The sequence below is a fragment of the Homo sapiens genome, chromosome 18, assembly GCF_000001405.40.
Source record: "Homo sapiens chromosome 18, GRCh38.p14 Primary Assembly".
NCBI lineage: Eukaryota > Metazoa > Chordata > Mammalia > Primates > Hominidae > Homo > Homo sapiens.
This window is the reverse complement of record NC_000018.10, coordinates 32,873,146-32,899,859: the sequence shown is the minus strand read 5'-3', so window position 1 is coordinate 32,899,859 and position 26,714 is coordinate 32,873,146. Positions and strand designations below refer to the sequence as shown.

The window sequence follows — 26,714 nt, the reverse complement described above, 5'->3', positions numbered from 1 at the left end:
GCTTGCAGAATCCACTTTGGGACTGTTTGGGACTGTTACTAATTTTGACAAACCATATTTGAATCTTTAACATATTATTGAATTAATGTAACTTCAAAAGAAAACTAGCAGCCTCTTCTATCAAGTCTGCCTTGTATCATTATCACCTTTCTTAAATTTCTCTATTATTTTAAAATCTAAGTTTTCTAAAAAAATACTTTATCTTATAACCTCAGCTTCTGAAATTAGAATTTTAAAAGCTTCTAAGCAGTTAAACTCTAAATAAAAAATTCCATATAGTAAAGCTTCTGTAATTTTTTCGTGATCCACTCATCGCATACAAATTTGGTTTCCTTGGTAGTTTTGCCCTTGAACTGAATAGAAATAACCAGATACAATGTAAGAGAACAGCATATATGTGTAGAAAGGAACAATAGATAACAACATGGCCACAGGAGAGAAGACAATAAAAATCAGAAAAGAGAATTTTAAAAGATCAAGCTGGCTTTTGTATGCACCTGAATAACCTTAGTGAAATTTTAGATCATATCACCACCTAAAAATCAATGATGAGAGAATGATGGCAAGGAATCATGTATATTCTGTTTCTGAAGCCAAAGAAGTATAGAGGATAGAATAGAAATATTTTCATGACGTAATTTTAATACTATCTAGCATTTATTGACTACCCACCTTGTGCTAAACAATATACACTTGGCATTTTACAAACATCATCTTCAGTCCTCACTGCAACATTGCAAATCATTTGCCACTATCCTTCTTTTAAACAGGAGAAATCTGAGGCTCAGAAAGGTTATTTAACATTCCCAAGGCAACACAGTTAGTTGATAGTTACCCCAGAGTATAAATTCAAATCTCTTTAGCTCCAAAATCCATGATTCTTTCTTACTCTTTGTCACCTTTACTATAAATAACATTTCTATTAGTTTGTTCTTGTGTCACAGCAAAGGAATACTTGCAACCGATAGTTTATAAAGAAAAGAGGTTTTAATTGGCTCATAGTTCTACAGGCTGTACAGGAAGAAAGAAGCTGGGATCTACTTCTGGCGAGAGCCTCAGGAAGCTCCCAACCATGGGAGAAGATGAAGGGGGAGCAGGTGCATCACATGGTGAGAGTGGGAGCAAGACACGGGGAGGAGATGCCACACTCCTTTTTTTTTTTTTTTTTTTTTTGAGATTAAGTCTCGCTCTGTTGCCCAGGTTGGAGTGCAATGGCATGATCTCAGCTCATTACAACCTCTGCCTCCTGGGTTCAAGTGATTCTCCCACCTCAGCCTCCCAAGTAGCCAGGACTACAGGCACACACCACCACACCCAGCTAAGTTTTCTATTTTTAGTAGAGACGAGGTTTCACCAGGGGCTGGTCTTGAGCTCCTGACTCTCAAGTAATCCACTAACCTTGGCCTCCCAAAGTGCTGGGGTTAAAGGCATGAGCCACCATGCCTGGCCGAGATGCCACACTCTTTCAAACAACCAGATCTGACATGAAATCAGTGAAAACTCACTCATTACCACAAGGAGTGCACCAAGCCATTCCTGAGAGATTTGCTCCCATGACCCAAACACCTCCCACTAGGCCCACTTCCAACATTTAGGTCACATTCCAACAAGAGATTTGGAGGGGATAAAACATCCGAACCATATCATTCCACCTCTGGCCCCTCAAATCTTATGTTCTTCTCACATTGCAAGATACAATCATCCCATCCCAATAGTCCTCCAAAGTCTTCGGTCATTCCAACATCAACTCAATCAAAAGTCCAAAGTCTCAATTGAGACTTAAGGCATGTTCCTTCCACCTATAAGACTGTAAGAACAAAAATAAGTAATTTACTCCCAAGATATAGTGGTGGTACAGGCGTTGGGTAAACATTACTATTCCAAAAGAGAAAAATTAACCAAAAGAAAGGGGCTGTAGGTCCCACAAAAGTCTGAAACCCAGCAGGGCAGTCATTAAAGCTTAAAGCTCCAAAATAATCTCCTTTGACTCCATGTCCCACATCCTGGGCACACTGCTGTTCTGGGTGGGCTCCCAAGGCCTTGGGCAGTTCTGCCCTGTGACTTTTTCACACTGAGGTTGCAAGTTGCTGGTGGCTTTACCACTCTTGGGTCTAGAGGGTGGCAGCTTCATTCTCATAGCTCCAGTAAGCAGTGTCCTCATGGTGACTCTGTGTGGGGGCTCCAACCCCACATTTTTCCTCAGCAGTACCCTAGTTCAGATTCTTGGAGGGGCTCTGCCCCTGTAGCAGGCTTCTGCCTAGGCACCCACACTTTTACATATATCCTCCAAAATCTAGAGGGAAGCTGTCAAGCCTCCTTCACTCTTGCGTTCTGTGTGCTTGCAGGCTTAACACTACGTGAAAGTTGCCATAGCTTAAGGCTTGAACCCTCTGGAGCAGTATCCCAAGCTGTATCCATTGCCTTTTAGTGAAGGCTGAAGCCAGAGCTGCCAGGATTCTGGAAGTAGCATCCTGAGGCTGCACAGGATAGTGGGCCCCTGGGCCTTGCCCCTGAAAACCATTCTTTCCTCCTAGGCCTCTAAGCCTATGATAGGAGGAGTTGCCTCAAAGATCTTTGAAATGCCTTTGAGGCCTTTTTCCCCATTGTCTTGGATATCAGCACTTGGCTCCATTTTAGTCATGCAAATCTCTTTAGCTCCACAGGGTGCTTTCATATCCCCCTGAAAATACTTGCTCCTTTTTTATCACATCTCAGCATCAAATTTTCCAAATGTTTAAGCTCTGCTTCCCTTTTAAATATAAGTTCCAACTTTAAGTCATTCCTTTGCTCCTGTATCTTATCTTAGGCTGTTAGAAGCAGCCAAGCCACACTTGAATGCTTTGCTACTTAGAAATTTCTTCCACCAGATGTCCCAGGTCATTGCTCGTAAGTTCAAACTTCCACATATCTCCAGGATGTGAGCAAAATGTAGCCAAGCTCTTTGCTAAGGCATAACACAAATGACCTTTGCTCCAGTTCCCAATAAGTTCCTCATTTCCATCTGAGGAATCATCACTCTAGCTTTCACTGTCCATATCTTTATCAGCATTTTGGTCACAACTATTTAACCAGTCTCTAAGACGTTCCAGACTTTCCCTTATTTGTCTCTCTTCTTCTGAGCCCTCCAAACTCTTCCAACCTCTGTGAATTACCCCATTTCAAAGCTGCTTCCACATTTTCAGGTATCTTTATAGGAAGGCCCCCACTCCTCAGTACCAACTTTCTGTATTAGTCTGTTCTTGTATTTCTATAAAGAAATACCTAAGACTGGGTAGTTTATAAAGAGATTTAATTAGCTCACAGTTCTGCAAGCTATACAGCAAGTGCGGAGCCAGCATCTGTTTCTGCTGAGGGCCTCAGGGAGTTTCCAGTCATGGCAGAAGGTGAAGGAGGAATAGACAAATTACATGGTGAGAGGAGGAGCGAGAAAGAGGGGAGGTGCCAGGCTCTTTTAAACAACCAGCTCTTGTGTGAAATTGTATAGCGAGAACTTACTCATTATCATGAGGACAGCACCAAGCCATTCACGAAGTATCCACCCCCATGGCCCAAACACCTCCAACATTGTAGGTCGTATTTCAACATGAGATTTGGAGGGGACAAAACACCCAAACCGTATCAATATTTAAAATATAACTTAAGGTGACAAATTCTAATTACCTGGTTTATATAAAGCCATACTAGATTAAAGAAATATTAGTAATTTGGTGATAATGACAAAACAAAAACAGCTGAAACACTACGTGATCCATCTTTAGGCACAGAGTTTTCAGAAGTTAGATGTTCTTCTGATTATCATCACATAGCAAATTATTATGATAAAATTGGCACCATATTTTAGTATTTCAACTTTAATAAATAATAAGTAATAATCTAACACACTTATAGTTTATTAAACATTGAAAAGCACTTTTTTCATACATTATTTAATATTTATACACACAATATTTCAGTTATGGAGGTAGGAGCCATATGTTCAACAGATAATGAAACCAAAGCCCAGAAAGCTTAAGTGCCTTTTATAGAATCACACAGTATATTAGAACCAGGGGAACCAAAATCAATGTCTCCTTATTCCCAATTTGATGCCAATAAGCAACATACCCAAATTTAAAAATGTGAAAAAATTTTGATCATTATAAAAAATCAGTAAGTCACACATTCTGCTACTATTTTGGCTAAATGTAAAAAAATTACCATCTTATTAAGTTGTGTTAATAAATGGTCAAAGGGAAAAACAAAAAGGGAGGATCTTGGAATGTTTCTATATAATTAGATTTTTTTACAGTGGGATATTTTGCTTAGCTGGGAGACTGCCAGCTATAGACAAAATATGGATGTGTAACAACCTCCTCAAAACTTACTGATATACAGCAATTAGAATATATGCTATGTTCAAATGTCTTCAGGTCAGTTGGGCTGTTTTGCTCCACTCACCTCTCATTCTTCCTGGACTAACAATTTACTGGGCTCATGTTCTTCTCAAAGCCAGGGCAGTGGTGCACAAAGCCAGGTGAAGGCAGAGATACTTCCGAGGATGAGGCTCAGCATTGTCTTACTATCACTTCCATCAACTTATCATCAGCCAAAGCAAATCACACAGCCAAGACCAACATCACTCAGGTGGAAGGGCTACAAAAGCATATTGCAAAGGGTGTGGATAGAGACAGTGGAACATTGGGAAGAATAGTTTAACCTACAACTGGTGATTATCGTAAACAATCATGCATTCCACAACTTATTTTTACCAAGTACATTGCATACAGGACACTAAGGATATAGCTGTGAACCAGACTAACGTAATCTCTTCCCTTATGGAAGCTATGAAAGAGGAGAGAGAGAGAGACAGAGAGTGTGCGTGTGTGTCCAAAAGTTATACTAGTCATAATTCAGCCTGTCTTTGTTGATTTTGAAGTATACTTGATATATCGTAGTGGTCTCCATTCTAAACATGTTTTTATTGTGCAACGTTTAAATGATGAGGTTATAAGAAATTAAATTAAATATGCAGTTTATTCAGGGTATACTACAGTCAGTGTTGCCTAGATTCTTAATTTCTTACCATTTCCCCTATAAAACAACGATGCACTTTTTAAAATTCCAGTTATTTTAGTCTTACATGTATTTTAATTCCAGATAGATGGGAGTTCATTGGAAAAAATATTCTCTTAAATGTGGTGAGTACAAGTAAAATTAAAGAATCTATAAAGTCAAGAAAGTGGCAGGTTCTTTTTGATAAAATAAATGAGAGTGATATAATCATTTTTATTCTTTGCCAAGTCCCCTGATACTATTAATCCCATAACCTCTTATTCTCAGACAGGAGAGAACATCACTGTCATTTCCTCAGTGACTGGGACAAATATTAAAAAATTGTAAAGGCTAAGTAGACATTTACTGAATCAATGCTGGAATGAATACATAACTCAATCAATAAGTCAGCCAATGAAAAGAGAGACAAACCTAATGATTTCCTACTAATATTCATGGACTATCATTGGCTTCTCCAGTATAAGCTCCTTAGATGTTGGGGGCACACATTTTTTTGGGAGATGGGTCACGTAACCACAGACAAAATTCCTATGAGTCAAATGGCAGCTCTATAATTCTCTTTCCTTGTTATTTTATAGCTAACACAGTCTTACTATCATAAGGCATTCCATCATCATCTACAGGGCTTACGATGATGTTCCTAACATTACGTCTCCTAGGTTTCTCCAAGCAGCCCTCTATCCTCGTACAGAGGTACTGCAGTTTCCAGAACTTGCCTGCTCTCTTCCATTTCATTGGTGACGATGACTGCTCTTTTTCTGTTTCCTGTCTGTATCTCTTGTGCTTGTCCTCCTGGAAAATCCTCCATTTTTCCAATACGAACATGTCTCTTTTATGAAGTCTACCCTGAGCTCTCAGTGGTAAAGAAACGTTTCCTTCTCCAGGATCCCAGAGTAACTTATACACACAGTAGCCTATTTATGACATTCTAAAGCAATTACCAGCTCTTATCATCGTTCCTAATACCTAGTAGGTGTTTTCATTCCTGCTAAAAAATATATAAGTAATAACAGTTTACAGCTGGGCATGGTGGCTCACACCTCTAATCCCAGCACTTCGGGAGGCCAAGGCAGGCGGATCACGAGGTCAAGAGATCAGATCACGAGGTCAAGAGATCGAGACCATTCTGGCCAACATGGTGAAATCCTGTCTCTACTAAAAATACAAAAAATTAGCTGGGCGTGGTAGCAGGTGCCTGGAGTCTCAGCTATTCGGGAGGCTGAGGCAGGAGAATCGCTTGAACCGGGGAGGGAGAGGTTGCAGTGAGCCAAGATCGCACCACTGCACTCTAGCCTGGCATCAGAGCAAGACTCTGTCACACACACACACAAAAATAGTTTACCCAGTTGGCTAAAGAATCATCAGCCAACAATTTAATATAAATATAAATGTCACACATTTTTAAAAAATACTATTATAGTACAGCCTTCTTTAGGCCTTCTGAAGCCTTTTACTCAATGCTAATAAACACTCACCTCATCTCACATTCTGACTTCATTTTATCAACAAGCATTTTTGAAAATCTGGGAAACAACAGCAAAACAAACAGATGAGCATATTAGCATGAAATATGCAAAATTCTGTATTCTTGTTTGAAGGGTTGCATTTATTGCCCTTAATCCAGTTTACAAATTGCAGGAGTTTAGGATGCTTATTGACGTTTGTGTTTGATTAAGATATGACTATATATTTAAGAGCTGGCAAAACTGTCGAGCCAGCCTGTGATTGCAGCAGTAATTAGGCATTTTAGCACATATTAGTGTAAACAGCTGTGTAAAATCCATATCAATGTTAGAAACACAAGTGATGTGGTTCAGTTAAAATATCACGAGGTTGGTTATTGAAGGTGGCTGCAAAATGCTGAGGAGAACCTGGAAAAATTAATTGCTCCCACAAAATGACATAGGCTAACAGAGGTTAATTTAAGGGAACTGTCTTTCAAACATTACAAATGGAAGTAGTGGAGTAAGAAGGAGATTTGGGGGCTAGAATCCCTTTTCTAACTCTACCCACTCTTGTGTGTAATACACACATCCTGAGATATTCTGTACTTTGGTGGAGAGAGTCTCACTGTCACTCACCAGACTGGAAGGTCTCAAAAGTAAACTGAGCAAAACTGTAAATGCTATACACATCCAAAAGTTAGTTATCAGGTCCATTAAACCACAACTGAACTCCACCACCCTTCTGTGGCCTTGCAAATATATATAGCAGCTCCTACACTGGGCAACTCTTATGCATAAAAAGTGTAAATTTTGAGATCAGCGTGCCTGATTTCAAATCTCTGCCTTGCTCTTTTCTATCCCTGGGATGTTGAGCAAGTTATTTCACCTTTCTAGACATGATTTTTCTCATCTGTACAATGGGCATAATCTCCACTTCATAGTCACTGTGTTAAGAATGAAAATAGACTTCATATATAGATAGCCTGAAAGTACAATATGGGACCCAGATAGTCATGAGTGATACAGACGTTTCAAGAAAAATATATGAGCAAGAGATTAAAATGGGCTATTATTCTACCACTCCATATTCTATGCTATATTCAAAGAACCAAGTCTTCCATTGCTTCCATAGGCTTTCCATTGTAGAGATGCTACCAGTGAGAACCAAGCTGAAGGGCTATCTCAGTTCATCAGCACTTTCCAATAGCACAGAATCACTAGGGTCAAAAGCAGAACTTGAAGACTCGACTATCAGCTCTATTAAAGCGAACACTAGACACTAGATAGCCAAATGCTTTGGGTAAATTTCTTTTGCTTGTGGTGGGAAAGAGACAGAGATAGTGTAACCCTGCCATCTGTTGACCTAGCAGCATATTGTGCCACTTCTGGTATGAGCAAAGGGCTCTCAAACCTGGGAAGGAGGTGAAAGATCAATATTTACAAGAGTACAACTGCTAACTTTATTCTGCAAACTCTAGCTATGTTACTGCACTTTAACTATTATACGCAGGCTGGTGGAACCACAGATTCTAGGAACAATATTCCCTGAAAGTTCTTTCAGTTCTACCCACTCCATTCCACCCGAATACCAATATGATTATTAAAACAGCTATCTGTGCTTCTCTGGGGGCACATTCAATAGATTTTTGAGGGTAAATCATATGAACAAAGAAGAATAACTCCAATATATGTCACTAGAAATAAAAGGCTCCCTACAGGGCATGTGGCATTTTTAGCTTTATATGCCAAGTCTCTTATCAAACACACAATATTGATCAAAAATTAAAATAATGTGTTAATGGGAACTTCAGCTCTGGTCCTAAAATATCTGCTATGCATGTATTAATAACCAGGACTACCAAAGTGAAGACGAAATTGACCTCTGATTAGATTTAAAACTATATTGCTGAACTGAAACTATATTTTTTGAGAAAAAGAAACAAAGAAATTATCATCATTTTCCTGTTTCTAAGCAGAACTACATAGATCTTATCTAGCCCACTTTCAAAGATCTCCAGAAATTCTGGGCTCACATCCTCCTTTGCTGAGCACACCACACTAGCACCTGCATCTTTAAGATGTACTCAGTTTGTGCCAAGCGTCAAGCTTCTTTACTATTTTTCTGTCTCTAGTAAGGCTTGACATTGGTTAATCAACACTCTTCTAAAAGGTTTTTTTTTAAAAATCTTTAGGACAGTATTAAACTTGAACTTCATGTACTTGTTATTGAGGCTTTTGTTTTGTTTTGCTATGTTTGTTGTTTGTTTTTGAGAAACTGAGTTGTTTTCATTTTATTTATTCAGTGAAATGATAATTACTAGGTGCCTACTAAACAATGAGCAATATGCTAAATAATAGGAATTGCAATGGAGTAGGTCAGATATTTCATAAGCGTATACTCAGATATGTAAAATATGGAAGTTTTAAAATTCTTTTCTAAATGTCCATGTAACCCCCATTTTTAATCTTTTATTTTTTCATTGACAAACAAAAATTATATATATTTATCACGTACAACGATGTTTTAAAATATGTCTACATTATGGAATGGCTCAGTTGAACTGATTAACATATGCATTACCTTAATTCCCATTTTACACCCATGTTTTACCTAATAAAGGAAATCACTTTAGTTCAGATAAACATAGGGCTTATTTTCAGTCACCTCAGGGCTGTCTCAGTCTCTTTCAGGCAAGCTCAGTCCATTTATAGGCCTATCAATGCTCCTTTTCTCCCTGGAGTGATATTAACATTCCAGGAGGGCTATAGGCATCCTCCATCCTTGCAATGAGATGAGACTCTTGATGAGAAGTGACTCCTTTGTCTTGCCTTTGGTCATTTTGCTCTGATTTTGTTACCTGGAAAAACTCAGGTATCCACATGGCCCCTGCTGCTCAGATTCTCCTAGTCACTCTGCATCCCAACATCGCAACTCCAGGGCTCCGTCCGCCACTTTCACTAGCCCGCTAGGAAGCATTCCACACCCATCTCAGGAAGCACAGAAATTTAGGGATGTTCTCCCACCTCTCTGGGTGGCTTCAGGCATAGGAAAGATGCCAGCTCAGGACATTTGTACAGTTCCCGGCAGCCATTTCTTTGCGTCCACTGTTGTTGCACTGTGCCCCAGAGGACTTCCCAAAGAGGCCCTGCCTGGTTGCTGTCATAGCCGCTTCTTTGTGGGCCCCACACCATAGCAGCCACAAGGCCCTTTTATAGGGACTTCTCTTAGCTGTCTTCATAGGGACAAGCTAAGCTCTCAAAGCAACTCTTCCCAAACAGTAAAGTATTGTTTCTAGTCTGATTAATTAGGTTTTTCACTTGTTCACTTTCCAAACTATTATTTTAGGCTTTGTTATTTAAAATGTAAACCAGGGACCAGTAGCTTGCAGTATTTTCAAGCTTATTAGAAATGCAGACACTCAGGCCCAATAGGAAGCTGTGCATTAACAGTGCTCCCGGGTGATTCCTGTGCCCCTTCCAGTTTGGGAAGCACTCCTAGTTAAGGCATTAACTGCTGCTGAGCTGGGGATTTAGCCTTTTATTCCAAAATGCCTGCTCCTAGTAAGATGAAAAGATTTGCTCCCAAGGCCATTTCCTCTACTGGGAATTTCCAGAGGCCTTCTTTGAAACTCAAAGCCAGGGATTTGTGGTTTTTTTTTCACTTTCTCTGATCTTTTGTATCCTGTACTCCATTCAATAACTATCTCTTAAGGCAATGAATATCACTGATTCAATGGGATAGTGGAAGATGGGAAATCTGGAAGGGAAGTGTAGGCTAGGCCAAATGAGTATCTCCGATTTTATTCCACTAGCCAACCCAAAGAACAATAAAATAGTTTCTTAAAGGAGCACACACACTAGTGAGATTCCTGATTCTACCAGCCTGCAAATTATTTGAAGGTAATGTAACTCAGGTAAAATAATCTTTTCTGCCTACTTCTAACAAATATGCTCTACTTCAACTCTTAGAAAAATCTGGACATGGGGACTGGAGGAAATTAAATACACACTCAAGTGTACAATTAAGTACACTTGTTTTTAATGGATGGGTAGAAAAGGGACGAAGACATGTTATGACAGCTGCATTTCAGGGATAGTTACCTAAAACTTGGTGGATCACAAGAAAAATTCCCTTCTCCTTGTAGCCAGACACTGTAATGGGGTACTTTATTTTATCTTTTTATTTGTATAAATGTGTGGGTTACTAGTGCCATTTTGTTACAGGCATAGATTGGGTAGTGGTCAAGTCAAGGTTTTTAGAGTACCCATTTCCTGAATACCATACCTTGTACCCACTAAGTCATTTCTCATCATCCACCCACCTCTCACCTCCTCACCCTGCTAAGCTTCCATTTTCTATCAGTCTACTCTGTATGTCCATGTGTACACATTTTTTTTAGCATTGAATAGGGTATTTTATGGAGACTTAAAAAGATATAGAAAGTCCAGCATACCTCTAGGAACGTATTTTTTTTTTCCTGGTACCCTGGATATCCCTGAAAAATCATCAATCTAGGTCATAATATTTTTAGTTGTTTATTATTCATGAAACAATGCTATGTATTTATAATTTTACATAACACCTTTGTTGGATAAAGTTCAAAGAGCCTAAACAGTTTATGGGCCTAGCATCTTAGGGCAGTAAGGGAAACAGACATGACCACCCCTCTTTGAAAGGCAGGGGCCACTGCTAAATCAGAAACCTGAAATCCAGACCTTTGCTACCTGCCCTTGAACTGAAAGTAAGCATATACCCCAGGGTAATTATTTACTTTTATTTTCCCTCTCAAAAGTCCCAGTTTAAACAATAAATAATATGGTCACCCTTTCCAGAGCCTATTGCAGTTTGACCACCAAGGTTTTCCTCCTGTGCCACTCTGAAAACTGCTGATGGCCAAGTTCTGTAATGCTGCTGAGGTATCCACCCCCTCGCTAGAATGGACCTCTTTGCTTCAGGACTATTCCCACTGCTTAACAAATGCACATTATTACCCCTAATAAACTTCCCGAGACTTGTCAGCTTTTATGGAGTGATAAAGCCTTTCTTTGAAACACCTACCTTGCCTTTTAGTTAGGAGCAAAAGAAAACATGTTCCCCTGGTAAACACATCTCCTCTAAGATGGCAAACGAGAAACTGCCCCTGCTTCCCCCTCCCCCACCTATATTTTTTTTTTTTTACCCTTGCAGCATTTAGAAAACTCTGTCCAAGAATATTACTCTATGAAGAAAAAAAAAACATCATTTCAAAATTATTAAAATCTCTGTGGGAATTCATGATTAATTTTAAGGCCTGGCAGATTAAAATACATTATTATGTACACTCTAGTGCATCCTTTCAGATATTTTCAGAATCTGATTTTGCTCTCTTGATACACACCAATGACTCTACATGTATCTAGTAGATTGCAAGGAATAGATTAGCATTAAAGAGGCAGTATTGTGTTGTTAGGTTGTTATATGTAACTTGTGCTCATACATTAAGAAAAATGTACCTGGCATTCCCCCGGACATGACCAGGCCTCTTAAAAAAAGAGAGTGAGTGAGAGCATGGTGACTACTTGGTGACAATACAGTTGTGGCAGCAGTTCTGAAATTCTGACCTTTGGGGTATTCACTGATGTTTTTATCCAGTTCCCAGGCAGAAGACGAACCACAGCGGCCTGCCAGAAAATGGAATACAGGCATTTATTTTCAGAAGCTATCAAATTTTCTACTTCCTAATCGGTAAAGAGCTGTCCTTTTGGCTTTTTTTTTTTTTTTTCCAAGGAAGTCACAATTGCAGCTGCAGAGACAGGGATAAACCTACAGCTTCTTTTTCTTTGTTGAAGACAAAGAGTAAAATCAATGAAAAGCAAATCAACAAAAACCTGTATAAACCTTACCATGTTTCACTTTGAGGAGTCCAAATACAATGACAAGGAAACTAGCTTGCCTCTTCCTCCAGGATATGACACTTCCACTCTTGATGACCTTCCTCTGTTTATAACCTTGAATAAGTAGCATGATTCTTGGTATTTAGATGGGTATCTGCCATTCAAGAGTGAAGCTGCCCACTTCCACATAAGATATTCTGTGACATGATTTTATTGTTAACAAATATTACTCATAGAAACAAAAATAGAGGATTCTGACCCAGTTAAGGGCTCTGTAGAGCTTTTGGCATAATAATAGATAAGAGTGGTTTTTTTGACTGAGCACGGTGGCTCATGCCTGTAATCCCAGCACTTTGCGAGGCTGAGGCAGACAGATCACCTGAGGTCAGGAGTTTGAGACCAGCCTGGCCAACATGGCAAAACCCCGTCTCTACTAAAAAATACAAAAATTAGCTGGGGATGGAGGCACACACCTGTAATTCCAGCTACTCCGGAGGCTGAGGCAGGAGAATCACTTGAACCTGGGAGGCGGAGGTTGCAGTGAGCTGAGATTGCACCACTGCACTCCAGCCTGGGCAACAGAGTGACACTCCATCTCAAAAGAAAAGAAAAAAAAAGATGAGTGCTTTTTTATCTCAAAGCTAATACATGACAATATATACATAACACTAATTTACATTTTTCCCTTTAGATGATGGAACCAAATGCACACAAGAGTTGACCTTAAACTACAAGACGAAGTGGGCAAATCAGATGTTGCGGTTCTCCTGTTTACCTACTCCAATTTCCCTTGCCAGATACTTGCTCTAATTACCTTCCTTCTCCACTTGCAATTTTACAAAATATTTGTGTTTTTAAAAAATCCTTCATGTGGGGCTGGGCGCGGTGGCTCATGCCTGTAATCCCAACACTTTGGGAGGCCGAGGCAGGAAGATCACCTGAGGCCAGGAGTTCGAGACCAGCCTGGCTAACATGGTGAAACCTGTCTCTACTGAAAATACAAAAATTAGCTGGCTGTGGTGGCATACCATGTAATCCCAGCTACTCAGGAGGGTGAGGCAGGAAAACCACTGGAGCCTGGGAGGCGATTGAGCTGAGATTGCACCATTGCACTCCAGCCTGGGTAGCAGAGCAAGACTCCATCTAAAAAAAAAAAAAAAAAAAAAAAAAACAAAACTTTTCATGCGTGGATCTGCTCCCAACATGTTGACGTTTACTAGATGCTATCAGATTAATCCTATTTCAATATGGGGTACCTTCCCTTCCCCTCAACTTTCTCTACAGCTTCCCACTCTCGCTCTCCCTTGTCCATCCATTCCACCACTATTTGCCCGCTTTCAATTGCTGGTCTTGCTCAAACTTTTTCTTTACTGTTCTTTTGTCCTCTCCCTCTTCATTTGTTTTATACTTAGCCTAGACAGTTTACAAGTGAAAGAGATAAAAGAAGAAGGGGCTATTCAGAGAAAAGAGGCCTAAATACTGCAGAGGCCCTGCTTGTGTTTACTGCTGGTGTGTTGTGATCCTCCCCTCACTGGATTTTCCTATTTTAATGGCCTTCCAGAAAAAAAATAGTGTGTGTGGGGCCTGGGGAATTAGTGTACTTATTAAGGGCTCCTGCAACCAATCATAGCCATTCCACTTTGAAATTATCATTATATATGTATGCATGTACACACTCTCACACACACAAACATTTTTGTTCCCTATTCTAAAACCCATTTCAGGCAGTTAGGTGTTCAACCTAGCATTCTGGGAAATTGACAATATGGAAGAAGATGCAGGGGTGATAGTGACCCCATCTAATTTCCAGTTTTCAAATAGCAGGCTTCATCTGCAGTTGGGCCTCCAGGTTGCCATTCAGCCCTGAAAGACCAAGAGTATCTTCTGGTTTTTTCATCCTGTCCTCTGAGATTTCACATTCACATACAATCCTTACAAATAACATATTAACATAGTTTCCATGTGATGTTTAAATAATTTTCAGCTATATTTAGAAGAAAAGATAGAATCTTAAGCAACTGACCCAATAGAGGAAAGGGTATCATGGCAGACGTATGACTGAGTTCTTTGAATAAGTGGGACCTTGTATCAGTCCATTCCTGCATTGCCATAAAGAAATAACTGAGATTGAGTAATTTATAAAGATGAGAGGTTTCATTGGCTCATGGTTCTGCAGGCTGTATAGGAAGCATAATGCCGGCATCCTCTTAGCTTCTTTGGAGGCCTCAGGAGACTTTCAATCATGGCAGAAGGCAACGGGGAAGCAGGCACATCTTACATGGTCAGAGCAGGAGCAAGAGACAGGGAGAGGGAGGTGCTACACACTTTTAAATAACCAGATCTTGTGAGAACTCTATCACGAGAACAGTACTAGGGGGTACGGTGCTAAACAATTCATGAGAAACTGCCCCCATGATCCAATCACCTCCCACCAGGCGCCCCCTCCCAGCATTGGGGATTACATGTCAACATAAGATTTGGGCAGGGACACAGATCCAAACCATATCAGACCTTGAGTAGACATCGCTTGAAATTTAACCAATGAGAAAATTGGCAGAAATAACTAACATCAGAGGTATTCATCAGGTCGTCTCAGCTTCACAAATCAGTTGAGATTAGAACCATCTCTCAAATTTGAAACAAGAATTCAGTGAGAAGTTCATTAGGCAACTTGCAATGCTGAGTAGAGAGGGGCTTTCCCTCCACCAGCCCCTGTGGGAACACAGGCTGTGGTAGAACAGCTCTCAAGGAGAAAATACCCTACTGCAGGGTGAGTCTAGGCTTGGGTAATAGCCCAGAAAGCAAGTGCAGAAGTGAGACTTTGCCTAAAGACAGGCCCTGCTCGATGCTAATCACTGACTATTCCAAAGCAAGAATAGACTTTCTAAGTTTCTGTTACAATGAAAAATGTAAAGAAGAAAGTTTTATTGCCTTTACATAAAATAAATTATCAATAAATATTTGATGGTATTTAATAAATGCACATGTATGAATATGTATACATAGAGATGATAGGTAGATGCATAGACAAACATATAGATAAATTAAAGTAAATGTGTGTGTGGTGTGTGTATGAGAGAGATTGAGAAAGAGAGGAACAGAGAACGAAAGTTTTCAATTCATGGTAGTATCACTCCTTTCCATCCCATCCATAATCTTCACCTCCAGAAGGATCACATATAAACCATGTAAAATTAAAATTAAAATAGGATAATCAAATTTAATACAATAACAATACACTTACATACACATACAATACACTTACAATAAACTTATGATCATTTTTACAAAATAATGGGACAACATGATATAAGGGAAGAAGCAAGCACAGTTTCTGAAAGTTAAACAGACCTGAGTTTACATTCTCTCTCTACCACTTGCTTACTACATGACTTGGGGCAAATTACTCAGCCTTCCTGAGACTTAGTTTCCACATCTGACAAACTAGAATAAAACTTATTTTTCATGGTTACTGTGAAATTTAACACATATTACTATAAATATCTAGCATACCAGGGTTTCAATGCATTTTAGCTGGCTTCCATTTCCTTCATTTGTTGATGGCATACAGCACAATAGAGGGTCTCCCTGAAAGAATAGGGGAAGAGGACAGGTTCCAGCTGCAGAAGTTAAATGAAGTCTAGAGCCAGAAGGGCTAATCCTGGGCCCACAGGCAAGGAAAATATTAGGAAATAAATTTTGAAAAGACCAAGAGTTCCACCAGCCATAGGAGTTCGTCTGAGGTGAGCAGTACACATTGCTGGATCCAGCATCCATGCCAGCCATGACTGAGCAAAAAGACTTCAAGGTTTTGTCCCAGGAGATAAGGTCAAAAGAGCCAATCTGCAAAGATCTACCAAGTACTACATGTTAACCATGTACACTTTCCCAAGTTCTTTAAATAAGTGAATACTGACCATATACCAAGGAAAAAATGCAGTCTTTATCCTGGTTTTACAGGTAAGAAGACAGAGGCATAAAGAGGCTAAATAATTCAACTAAAGTTACCGGCCCAGTAAGTTGAGGAGCCGGGATTCAAATCCAAGTAGCCTGGTTCTAGAATCTGTTCTCTTAGCCACTGGTGAATGGTTTTGAATGCTGGAGTCTAGTGTTTGTTTGTTTTTAATGAGACTATATGTAAAGAAGAGAGAAAGATAGAGCAGGTTTATTCTAACCTCAGGACTAGTAGTAATAGTGATAACAACCACTGCACATTACTTGAAATGTACCAGATGCTGGTGCTGAGCACTTTACATATCACTGAATCCTCTCAACAACCCATGCTCTACTCACTACAACTCTCCACTTATTTTTGTTGAGGGAACTGAGCTCATAAAAGTTAAAGGTATCAGCATTAAATGAGATATATCTATGTCTTCATATTTCCTGGTTTGAGTTGTTTCAGCACCTGACTTGAGACAGTTGGTGTATTGGTGGCAGACCCCATTATCTGAAGAGCCAAGAGAAGACTGTTGAAACTGAGAGGGGACAAAATTACTGGGGACAGCCATGATTGCTGTGTTGCCCTTCCTTCTTGTGGCAGGTTCACTCACCAGGAACTCCTCAAATCATACAGTCAAGTGCCTGTGAGATGCCATGATGGATTAGGCCACTCACCTAACTTCAGGGCATCCCTGAACACACATGCAGTCACACACACTCACTCACACACACACACACACCTCCTTCACTATTGGCCCCTAACTCTTATGATTTAAATTCAGTAATATAATGTAGGACTAAAGTGGAGGGCAACAATTTTGGTCCCCTATTTGCCATAGAGTGTCACTTTTCACAGTAGCATTAGATAATAGATAATAGTTCATGCAATAGGCTCAGGCCATGATGAGTTTAAGTTCAAATATATTAAGATTTCAACTTATGGTCAGGGATAAAACCCTACCTTGATTTTCTAAAACATCACAGTGGAAGGGACACCAAATTCTAATTGTCCTACAATATTAATTCCCCTTTGTATTGGAGGCGGCTTAGCCAGCAGATTCGGGCAGACCTCTGAGTAGGAAAAAGAAGAAGAAAGAAGTAATCACTGGTGCATGAATTGAGGGAACTCAGCCATTTATAAAAGGATTCCATAGTCAACATGTAAAAGGGTTTCTTTGTAAATTTCCCACTCATTTTTTTTTCCTTCCCTTGATGCAAGATTTTTTCATTTTAAATAGTGGGGAAGCTGTAGAAAAGAATTATTAAAATCAAGAAGAAAGTAAATAAAGCGAAAAGCAATTCATTTGGTCATTGCCTAAAGAATTGTAAGTGAGGTGTCTATAACTCAACATCTTGTGCTGAAGAATTTCTTAATTAATTCCTTCTTTGATTAAGCAAATATTTACTAAGAAGGTACAAAGATAGGAATAGGAGATACAGTGTAAACAAAATGAGATGATGTCTTTGGCTTTATAGAGTTTTTATTTTACTGATAGAGAACACCAATAAACAAGTATATGTTCAAACAAACATATTCATAAATATTAAGAAGGAAAGTAACAGAAATGGGAATAACACCCTAGAACTATATTAAACTGGTAGCTGGAGTAGAAAACAGATTGAAACAAAAACATAAAAAAGCAGATATTACCATCCAATTAAATATATTTTTAACAAGTATTCAACACTGCACTAGGCATGAATACATTCCTGTTTTTGATTGCTACACAGCCTGGATGGGAAAATAGAAAGAAAGATGGATACGTCATTGCAATACCCTGCAACAACTGCTCCAATGGAGGTGCCATGGTGGGGAAGAGGATGGATGGGTTGAGTAATTAAAGTCTTCAACAGAGGGGGCTTTAGAGCCAATCCCTGAAGGATGAGCAAAAAACTCAACAATTGATAATGAGTTTGTAAAGACCCTTGGAATAATGTGGTAAAAAGATACACATATCTGCTAAGGAGATTATTCTTTATCTTAAGGAGAGCTCAAGAGACCTGTAAGCAAGGGAGGGATTCCATCACATCAATGTTTGGGAAAGACTCCCATGACAGAAGTTTAGGAAATGGATTACATCTGGCAGGGACAGAGCTGGGGAGACTAGAGAAGAAGTAATTAGGTCAAAGGAGAGAGATTCTTCAGACCATGTCCTCCACCACTAGTGGCCCCAGTGGGGCCCATGGAAGAAAATTTGCTGGAGGGAAACTACACTAATTCATAGTCCTAGTCCAGAGCTGGGAGCTGCTGTGACCCCTGTTGATAGACCATCTGTAGGGGGACAGAGGCTTACCCTCCCACGCTGGCAGGTGTGAAAACTGTACAAAGGAAAGCCAGAGGTGGGGGCAGTCCCTTCCCCAAATCATTGTGTGACTCCACCCTGTGCAAATACAAGCCGAAGGAGAAGTGTCCTCATCTGCAGCTCTCTACGTGCTTTTGTGCTTATTAAATGAACAAAAGAATACAACTTGTAATGCTTCAGAAAGACACTGTGCCATTAGAACCAAATAAGGATGGCTTCGTCTAGTCTCACATTTATCTAGCCCTCTTAAAATCGAATTTCAATTTGAACAAATAATTCTGAGCTAGCTAGCTAGGTCTGAGTAGAAAAGTAAACATCCCATCAGCATTAATGATTTAGTTGATCATCTTCATCACTATTCAGTAGCCATAGTCCCAATTCTAGTATGATTATTTATTTTTTTGAAACTGTCTTTGGAAGAGGTGTTGTTTTTTAACTTGCAGATGTCCTTGGGCTGATCTTGTGTTATTTCCTATTTGAAAGCTTCAGGTGTTGCTTTCAACTCTGCTTCTCTCGTCTATCACGAAGAGATGTCCTACTGGCATATCAAGCAGCACTTTGCAACAAGAGGCCATGTTGGTCAGTATCCAGGAGGAATAGGTATATTTTTAATAGGCAAAGATGACATGGAAAATAAGATCAAGGTTGCCTAAATTCAATTTTGGAACAAATCTCCCTTTTTCTCATTCTGATTCCCGACAGTTTCATCTTTTCTAGAAAGGTGTTTCATCCATAGTTCAATATCACTTTGCCCTTAAAAATGCCATGATTAAAAAGCATCTCCATGTTGTGATAAAAGGCTTGTTTTGCTGTGCAGAGAAAAACCAACACACTTATTCAAAATCAGGGAACACGATTCTTTTATTTTCTTAGGTTTACCTTTGAAAGTAACCCTGATCCTTAGGAAGCTGGGGAAATGTTTAATCACATGAAATTGGGTACAAATCACCTCCTTGAAAAGCCTAAAGCCAGAAACACTTCCCTGGAGCATCCTGTGCTTTGAGACTTTCAAACTTTCCCCGAAACATGAATTATGATTTTTCTCTTATGTACTTATTTTTCTACAATAGTTTTTCTGCTTTCTAGTTCTATGCTGGTCTCCTTCCTCTACCTCAGATATGTTCCCAGATCAGTCTCACATGAGTGAGAAATAGTTGCCCCAGCCTCAAAACTCCAGTCAGGGAGAGGATCAAGGAAGTAGGGGATATAAAAGCATTTTTTTTTGTCTTTTTTAATGCAGAGCTATTGGTAGGCATCTGATGCTGGATACAGCAACCCAATTTGCCCATCTCATGAAAGGCACCCCACTTTACCCAATCTCAGAGGTGATAAACCCAAGGGCAAGGAAGAACAAGTAATAAGGTGTTCTTGTCATGCAGCTCAAGATTTTTAAAACACATTAACTGTAATTTTTAGATAGTCAGAATTTAGTGAACCATTAAAAGTGACCCAGTTCATTGAACCAAACTGAACTGAACAGATGGAATTCCACCCTCCTTCTGCTTGAATGACTTCACGAACAATGCAGAGTCTTCTTTTAAATCCCTCCTTTGAGCTCCTTACCTCACTTATGCAAACATGTCGGGAATGCTTTGGTCATTTTTCTACTTGGCAATTCTCTTATTGCAACTGGAAGCTGGAAGCTGGTACCCAGATTGTGCCGAATTTATGAGACTGAGTATTGTGCTTTGTGAGCTGTTTATATGTTGCCATTTTTTTCTGAATTTGACTCTGCATGTGAGGCTCAACAAAGTCCTGAATTTTTTCTCTTTCAGAACCTGTGTCATATCCAGCTCTCTTTATTTCGTGGCTCTCTTATTTCCTTTCTAGTCTCTTTTTCTTCCCACAAGCATAAAACATATGCATGAGACGTTATAGCTTTCCAAGTCCTTTCTCTGCTGCTCATGGCCTTCCAGGCACACGTGATTATGGATACTTTGAAAATTAAACATCTATTCTTCAACTTTTGATGTTTAAAAAATGAAGCTGAAATAAGCTTTCTCATGAATCACAGAATGGCATCCCTGTATATCAGAATTCTCCAGTAAGAATGGCAATATGTCCTGTTATTTAAAAATCTCTAATATGCTGAAGAACAATATGATACGTTGGTTGGAAAAACGAAAATGAAGGGCCTCTCAGAGCCTCTAGGCAGTGAGGAAACAGTGAGAATATCTCACAGAAAGAGATACATAAAAGGTTAAAATTGTGGCAAAATAAGAATAAAACCCAGAGACCAAAACAGAGCCATCTGTATCTACACAGACTTTAGAAAAATAGAGATTAGAGCGGTTTCATTATGCTGGCTCTCACGTGACCAGAGAAGCTGTAAAACAAACTGTGTTATGGTCTCGGGATGAGGTCTTAGAAGTGGAACCAGAATGGGTGCACATTTGTTTATTTTAGTCTGTATCAGCTTTAAGTGTTAATTAACATAGTGCACTGTATTATCTCTGTGCCTATGGAGCAGAGAGAGGACCCACATTGTCCCTGCCCCAACCCCCACATAGCTTCTGTGGGACAGTTCTGTTTGGCCTTCTGGCTTCAGTGCAGGGCAGGGAGATGCAAACTTTATAGCCAAATCAGAGTTGGCTCCAGTTTGGGGAATGACCCGTCAATTATCCTCTGCATCTCAGCTCACTCATTTGCACAATGGGAGTGCTATGCTCATTATGACCCTGAGGTAGCTCACTGTGCAATTCTGATCAGAAACTAGGTCAACAACAACCAAAGGAAAGGTTGATGTTCCCGCTTCCTTAGTTCTGTTTTTCTGTCCTTTGCCTGCCTCACACTCTCCTGTCTCTCCTGTCTTCTCTATCACCCGCCCTCACTCATGTGCATAATTAAGGAAGTGGCCATGAATGAAGGTATGAGATCTGACCCCATCTTCTTCTATGCTCCCATTCTGACAGCATGGCCAGAGGACCCTGAGGCCATATGGCAACCTTATTCCTTATTTATCTGTTAAATATTATGCCCAGGCAACTAGTCTTACTCTTATTAACATCCAAGTTACTAAGTCATGTTCAAGTAACTTATTAATTTATTGACCATCTATTGAGCACCTACCATGTGCCAGGCTCTGGAGATAGAAAGATGAATAATGCAAGCCTTGTCTTGGAATCTTCAAGAGTGATCAAATGTGTAGGGAAGTAATAACAATGTAATAACAATGCAATGGGTATCGGCAATGGTTTGCACTGTTTGCTATCCATGTAATTCAAACCAAATCAGAAAAAAAAAATGCCCCTGCCAAACTACTGAAGTTAAATAATTGACATTTTTAGCATCTCTATTGCCTTTCAAAAAGTAGCATGATGAAGGAAGCACCTCAGCAAGAAGTTTCCTGAGAAGGAAGAGTGTGAGTGGTTTTTTTTTTTCCAATTAGCTTTGTGTCCTTGCCTTGAAATGGTCACAACTGCAACATCACGGATGTCATCTGGAATTTCTTCATCATTCTCAAGCTTCAAGATGAGATCAAGGAGCCATAGTGTGCATTTTCCTCAGCCGATTTGAAGATTTCAGCAGGGATTCCATCAGCTCCAGATGCCTTGTTGTTTTTCATCTGCTTGATGGCTTTCCTCACCTCATAAAGAGTTGGAGGGATTTTGAGATTGCCACTGATTGGGAGTTGTGGGATGGAGTTGAAAACACTCCCACTGATAAAATAATTTCCACTGAAGACCTGGAAATGCTCTTTTCAATATGTGTTGACATTTTCTCTCTCACTGAGCAGTTTTCAAGCACCCTTATCTTCTTGATAGCTCATATAGAGTTTCAGCGTTATCCGACCTAATCCATGTGGGTGTTGAATCGACTTCGCCATGACATCTCACCATCTGCCCTGTGTGTTGGAGGGCTCTCTGAATCTTTACCTTGACTTACAAATGTAACAATGTCTTTCTTTTGGGATCAACAACAATGTCAAATGCCAAAAAATTAAAAACAAAAAAACTCATTGCAGACTTATGTTTAAGATTATTATAAGATTGCCAATTTGCATCTGTTAAATAATGTTTAAGAAAGTCAGGGTCTTGGCCAGGCACGGTGGCTCACGCCTGTAATCCCAGCACTTTGGGATGCCGAGGCAGGTGGATCACAAGGTCAGGAGATCGAGACCATCCTGGCTAACATGGTGAAAACCCATCTCTACTAAAAATACAAGAAAGTAGCTGGGTGTGGTGGCGGGCACCTGTAGTCCCAGCTACTTGGGAGGCTGAGGCAGGAGAATGACGTGAACCCGGACCTGGGAGGCAAAGCTTGCAGTGAGCTGAGATCATGCCACTGAACTCCAGTCTGGGCGACAGAGCAAGATTCCATCTCAAAAAAAAAAAAAAAAAAAAAAGTCAGAGTCTTGGGGGTAAACTAGTATATGGAGGTCCTTGGCATGTTCATGTTAGGTAAGAAGTTGTGCATTAATTCACATAGAAATCTATTGTTTAGCTTTAATGGCCTGTTCTCAATAGCCAATTGAGTCCAGAATGTTCTAATGTTGCAGGAAATAGTTCTGAGAAATTGATTTTCCTTTGTTCTATGAGTAGATGCCCCTTTCCTATTTATAGGAATTTATTTGGATTATAGCTTCGAATTTTATCATGAGAGTGTGATGGCCTCAGAATTGTAAGTCTCTTATCTTTTAGTCTCTAGGATTGCCTATTCAGAGGGCATCATTGGGCATAAGGATCTTATGCAGAAGTGTTCTGTCTCTTTCTAATACAGGACAAGTATTACAGGTATTCAATTATAACTATCTTCATCATGAAATGTTAGAATTAGACAGAGCTCAGCACTTTGATTTTATTGGTGAGGAAATTGAATACAAGAGAAAAGAAGTGATAGCTATCCCAAAGTTGCACAGCTGGATGGTGGTATATGGTGTTCTAAAACTCAGTGCTTCTAGGGCAAGATTCTTCCAACTACAGTATTCTTTCTCTCCTGACAATATAACACCTGATGAAGAATGAAATCCAAATCTTTGTATCTTCTCTAATTTCTCTCATAAACAATACCCAGGAAGCAGGAACTTCCTATTATTAGTCTTCGTATAATTTGACAGAACCCTCAATCTATATCAGTTGAATATAACCAAACCAGGAATCAGTACATTTAGGCACTCACCAGTATGAAACACAACAGTCACTCTATATTATACCACTGATGTTAATAATACTCCCTGATTATCTCAATGTTTGGGGCACCAGAAAAAAATATATAAAGACTTTTATTTTAAAAGGATGTGCAATCATAAAAACTAGAAATATGCTTTGTTGCTCTTTATAACGAAGAGAAAAGAACTACAGGAACTCACTGAATAGAAACCATAGATGTGTGACCTTAAAGATGACTCTAAGGTGCAGAAAAGTTTCTGCACCTTAGAGTCATCTTTAAGTCATCTCTATGGCAGTCTCAAAGAAGCATTGTTTAAAAAGAGGAAACTAGCATATTGATGATCTTCTGCAGCACAGGAGCTGGTTTAAGGATCTTTACTGGGTCTTGAATGTATCAGCCATGAACCATCATTGTACATACCCAATGAGCAAGCTATGGTGATACTGCTGTAGACCTTCAAAGGCAGCATGAAGCAAGAAGTCCTACCCTTGAATTGCTGATTGATATGGTTTGGCTGTGTCCCCACACAAATCTCATCTTGAATTGTAGTTCCCATAATTCCCATGTATCATGGGAGGGACCCAGTGAGAGATAATTGAATCATGGGGGTGATTATCTCCATGCTGTTCTCATAAGAGTGAGTGAGTTCTCATGAGATCTGATGGTTTTATAAGGGGCTTTTCCCCCACTTCACTCTGCACTTCTCTCTCCTGCTGCCATGCGAAGAAGAACATATTTGCTTCCCCTTCCACCATAATTGTAAGTTTCCTGAGGCCTCTCCAGCCATGCTGAACTGTGAGTCAATTAGACCTCTTTCCTTTATAAATTACCCAGTCACGGGTATGTCTTTATTAGCAGCATGAGAACAGACAAATACACGGATTGACTAAAAGGAAAAACAGAACACACATGAATCAGAGGCATGCAGGTGAGCTTCCAGTTATTACAATGAAGAATAACAAAGTATTTAACTTTTGAAGGCAAGATCTCTTCCTTTGTGCAAAGCACAGAGGGTCTTACTCTAGGAACTCAGTTAGTGCTGGCCTCCTTTCCTCTCATTCTATTCAGTAAATTAGAAAGCTTTCTCTAGCCTACCCTCATACCTCCCTGCCTTCCATAGCCTGGCCTAGCTCCATTCATTAATGTATTCATGCATTCACTCTGCAAATATTTAGTGCGCATCCCTTATGCAATAGGTCTTTGCTAGATACTTAATGAAAAATCTATAATCCCTACCCTCAGGAGTGTTTAAAGTCTAGTGGAAATGACAGGAAATAAAAAAGTGATTATAATACAATATGGCAAATGCCTCAGTAGGGGTAAATGTGTACAAGGTTGAATTTTATTTTGGAGGGCAATAGGGAAAGATTCCTTTCAATGCTCCTTTTTTTTTTTTTTTTTTTTTTTTTTTGAGACAGGGTCTCACTCTGTCACCCAGGCTGGAGTGCAGCGAGATCACTGCTCACTGTAACCTTGACCTTGTGGGATCAATTGATCTTCCCACATCAGCCTCCCAAATAACTAGGGCTACAGGTGTGTGCCACCATGCCTGGTTAATTATTTTTTTTTTGTAGAGATGGATCTCACCATATTGCCCAGGCTGATTTTGAAATCCTGGGCTCAAGTACTCTTTCACCTAGCTTCCCAAAGTGCTGGAATTCAATACTCTCTTAACGTCATTAAAGGAAGAGGAAATGAGATCTTAACAATCCATCACCACAACATTTTATTTATTCATTTATTTATTTATTTATTTATTTATTTTTGAGGCAGAGTTTTGCTCTTGTTGCCCGGGCTGGAGTGCAGTGGCATGATCTTGGCTCACTGCAACCTCTGTGTCCTGGGTTCAAGCAATTCTCCTGCCTCAGCCTCCCAAGTAGCTAGGATTACAGGCATGCATCTCTATGCGTGGCTAATTTTGTATTTTTGGTAGAGACGAGTTTTCTCCATGTTGATCAGGCTGGTCTCGAACTCCTAACCTCAGATGATCCACCCACTTCAGCCTCCCAAAGTGCTGGGATTTTATTATTATCAATTGAATACAGGTCATCACAAAAATGTTCAGGGCAATTATTTATGTTAGGCTCTACCCTTGTGTGGCAATCTATAAAGAGTCTTCCTTAGCTTCTGTCATCTCTTAATAGTTATCTTCCCCGCCAGCCTCTCAACTCTACAGAGATTATTTTCCAGGTTATTTATTTCTTGGTCCTACACGTACTTGGACACCAACTTCCATGTCTCCTGGAACCTCTTAGGTTCCTTCAGTGTTCACTTCCGCTTCATAAGTGAAAGAGTAGAAGAAAGGAAAGCTACCCTCAAACGTCTGGCCTTGATTAAAGTATAAAGCCCCAAGTGACTGCCTAGCATCTCCCTAAACATTGCACTAAGAATTCCTCGTTCCATTTCTCAACTTGCAGTGGCATTGGTAACAATGCTATTTTGTTGGTATAAGGTTAGCCCCAAAGGGGTTGGGTGTGTTATGTCAAGAAATTTAAGGTTAAGGAAAAACACCCAATGCTGTTGCTTTATTGGCACATGTCATATCCCAGAAAGTGGAAGAGGAAGAGGTAAAAATAAGAAAAAAAGATTTATTCTTGCAGAAGGCATCTCAACATTTAGAATAGCCATGAGCAGATTTGTGTTTTAGAACACTCCCTCTGACTGCTGTGGCAGGAAGGGTCTAGAAGTTTGCATAACTGGAGAGAAGGAAAATGGTTGAGGTCTATATTAGTTTTCTGACACTGCTGTAACAAATTTTCACATACCTAGGAGCTTAAAACAACATAAATTTATTCTCTTACAGTTCTGGAGGTCAGAAGTCTAAAATGGGTCAGCAGGACTGAGTTCCTTCTGGAAGTTCAAGTGGGAAAACCTATTTCTTTGCTTGTATAGCTTCTAGGAGCTTCCTGCATTCTGTGGGTCATAGCCTCCCAACATTCCTGTGTCTGTTTCTGTCGTCACATCTTCTTCTCTTTCTGAATCTACTGAC

The 26,714-nt window shown here is 39.7% G+C and overlaps 1 long non-coding RNA gene across 15 annotated transcripts in view, besides 1 other annotated feature; it reads right to left on the bottom strand.

Moving 5' to 3' along the window:
* LOC105372058 (uncharacterized) overlaps positions 1 to 26,714 on the bottom strand; it is an 83,282-nt gene that overhangs the window by 16,858 nt on the left and 39,710 nt on the right. For 11 of the 15 annotated variants that reach the window (XR_935347.2, XR_001753391.2, XR_001753394.2 and 8 more), the window contains 3 exons: positions 12,099 to 12,158; positions 6,528 to 6,575; positions 4,438 to 4,632 (listed from right to left, as the gene is read on the bottom strand). The exons of 1 other annotated variant lie outside the window; for it this stretch is intronic. This is a non-coding gene — a long non-coding RNA (uncharacterized LOC105372058). Of the gene's footprint in view, positions 1 to 4,437; positions 4,633 to 6,527; positions 6,576 to 11,990; positions 12,159 to 26,714 lie in introns of all 15 variants that reach the window. 3 more of the 15 variants (XR_001753390.2, XR_001753396.2, XR_001753392.2) reach the window with 3 other exon arrangements.
* Positions 11,786 to 12,985: an enhancer, noted in NCBI's record as "MED14-independent group 3 enhancer chr18:30466839-30468038 (GRCh37/hg19 assembly coordinates)". NCBI's record gives its function as "activates an origin of replication core promoter dependent on BRD2, BRD4, P300/CBP and CDK7 cofactors, and independent of MED14, by STARR-seq in HCT116 cells {active_cell/tissue: HCT116}" and the evidence as "EXISTENCE:reporter gene assay evidence [ECO:0000049][PMID:35650434]".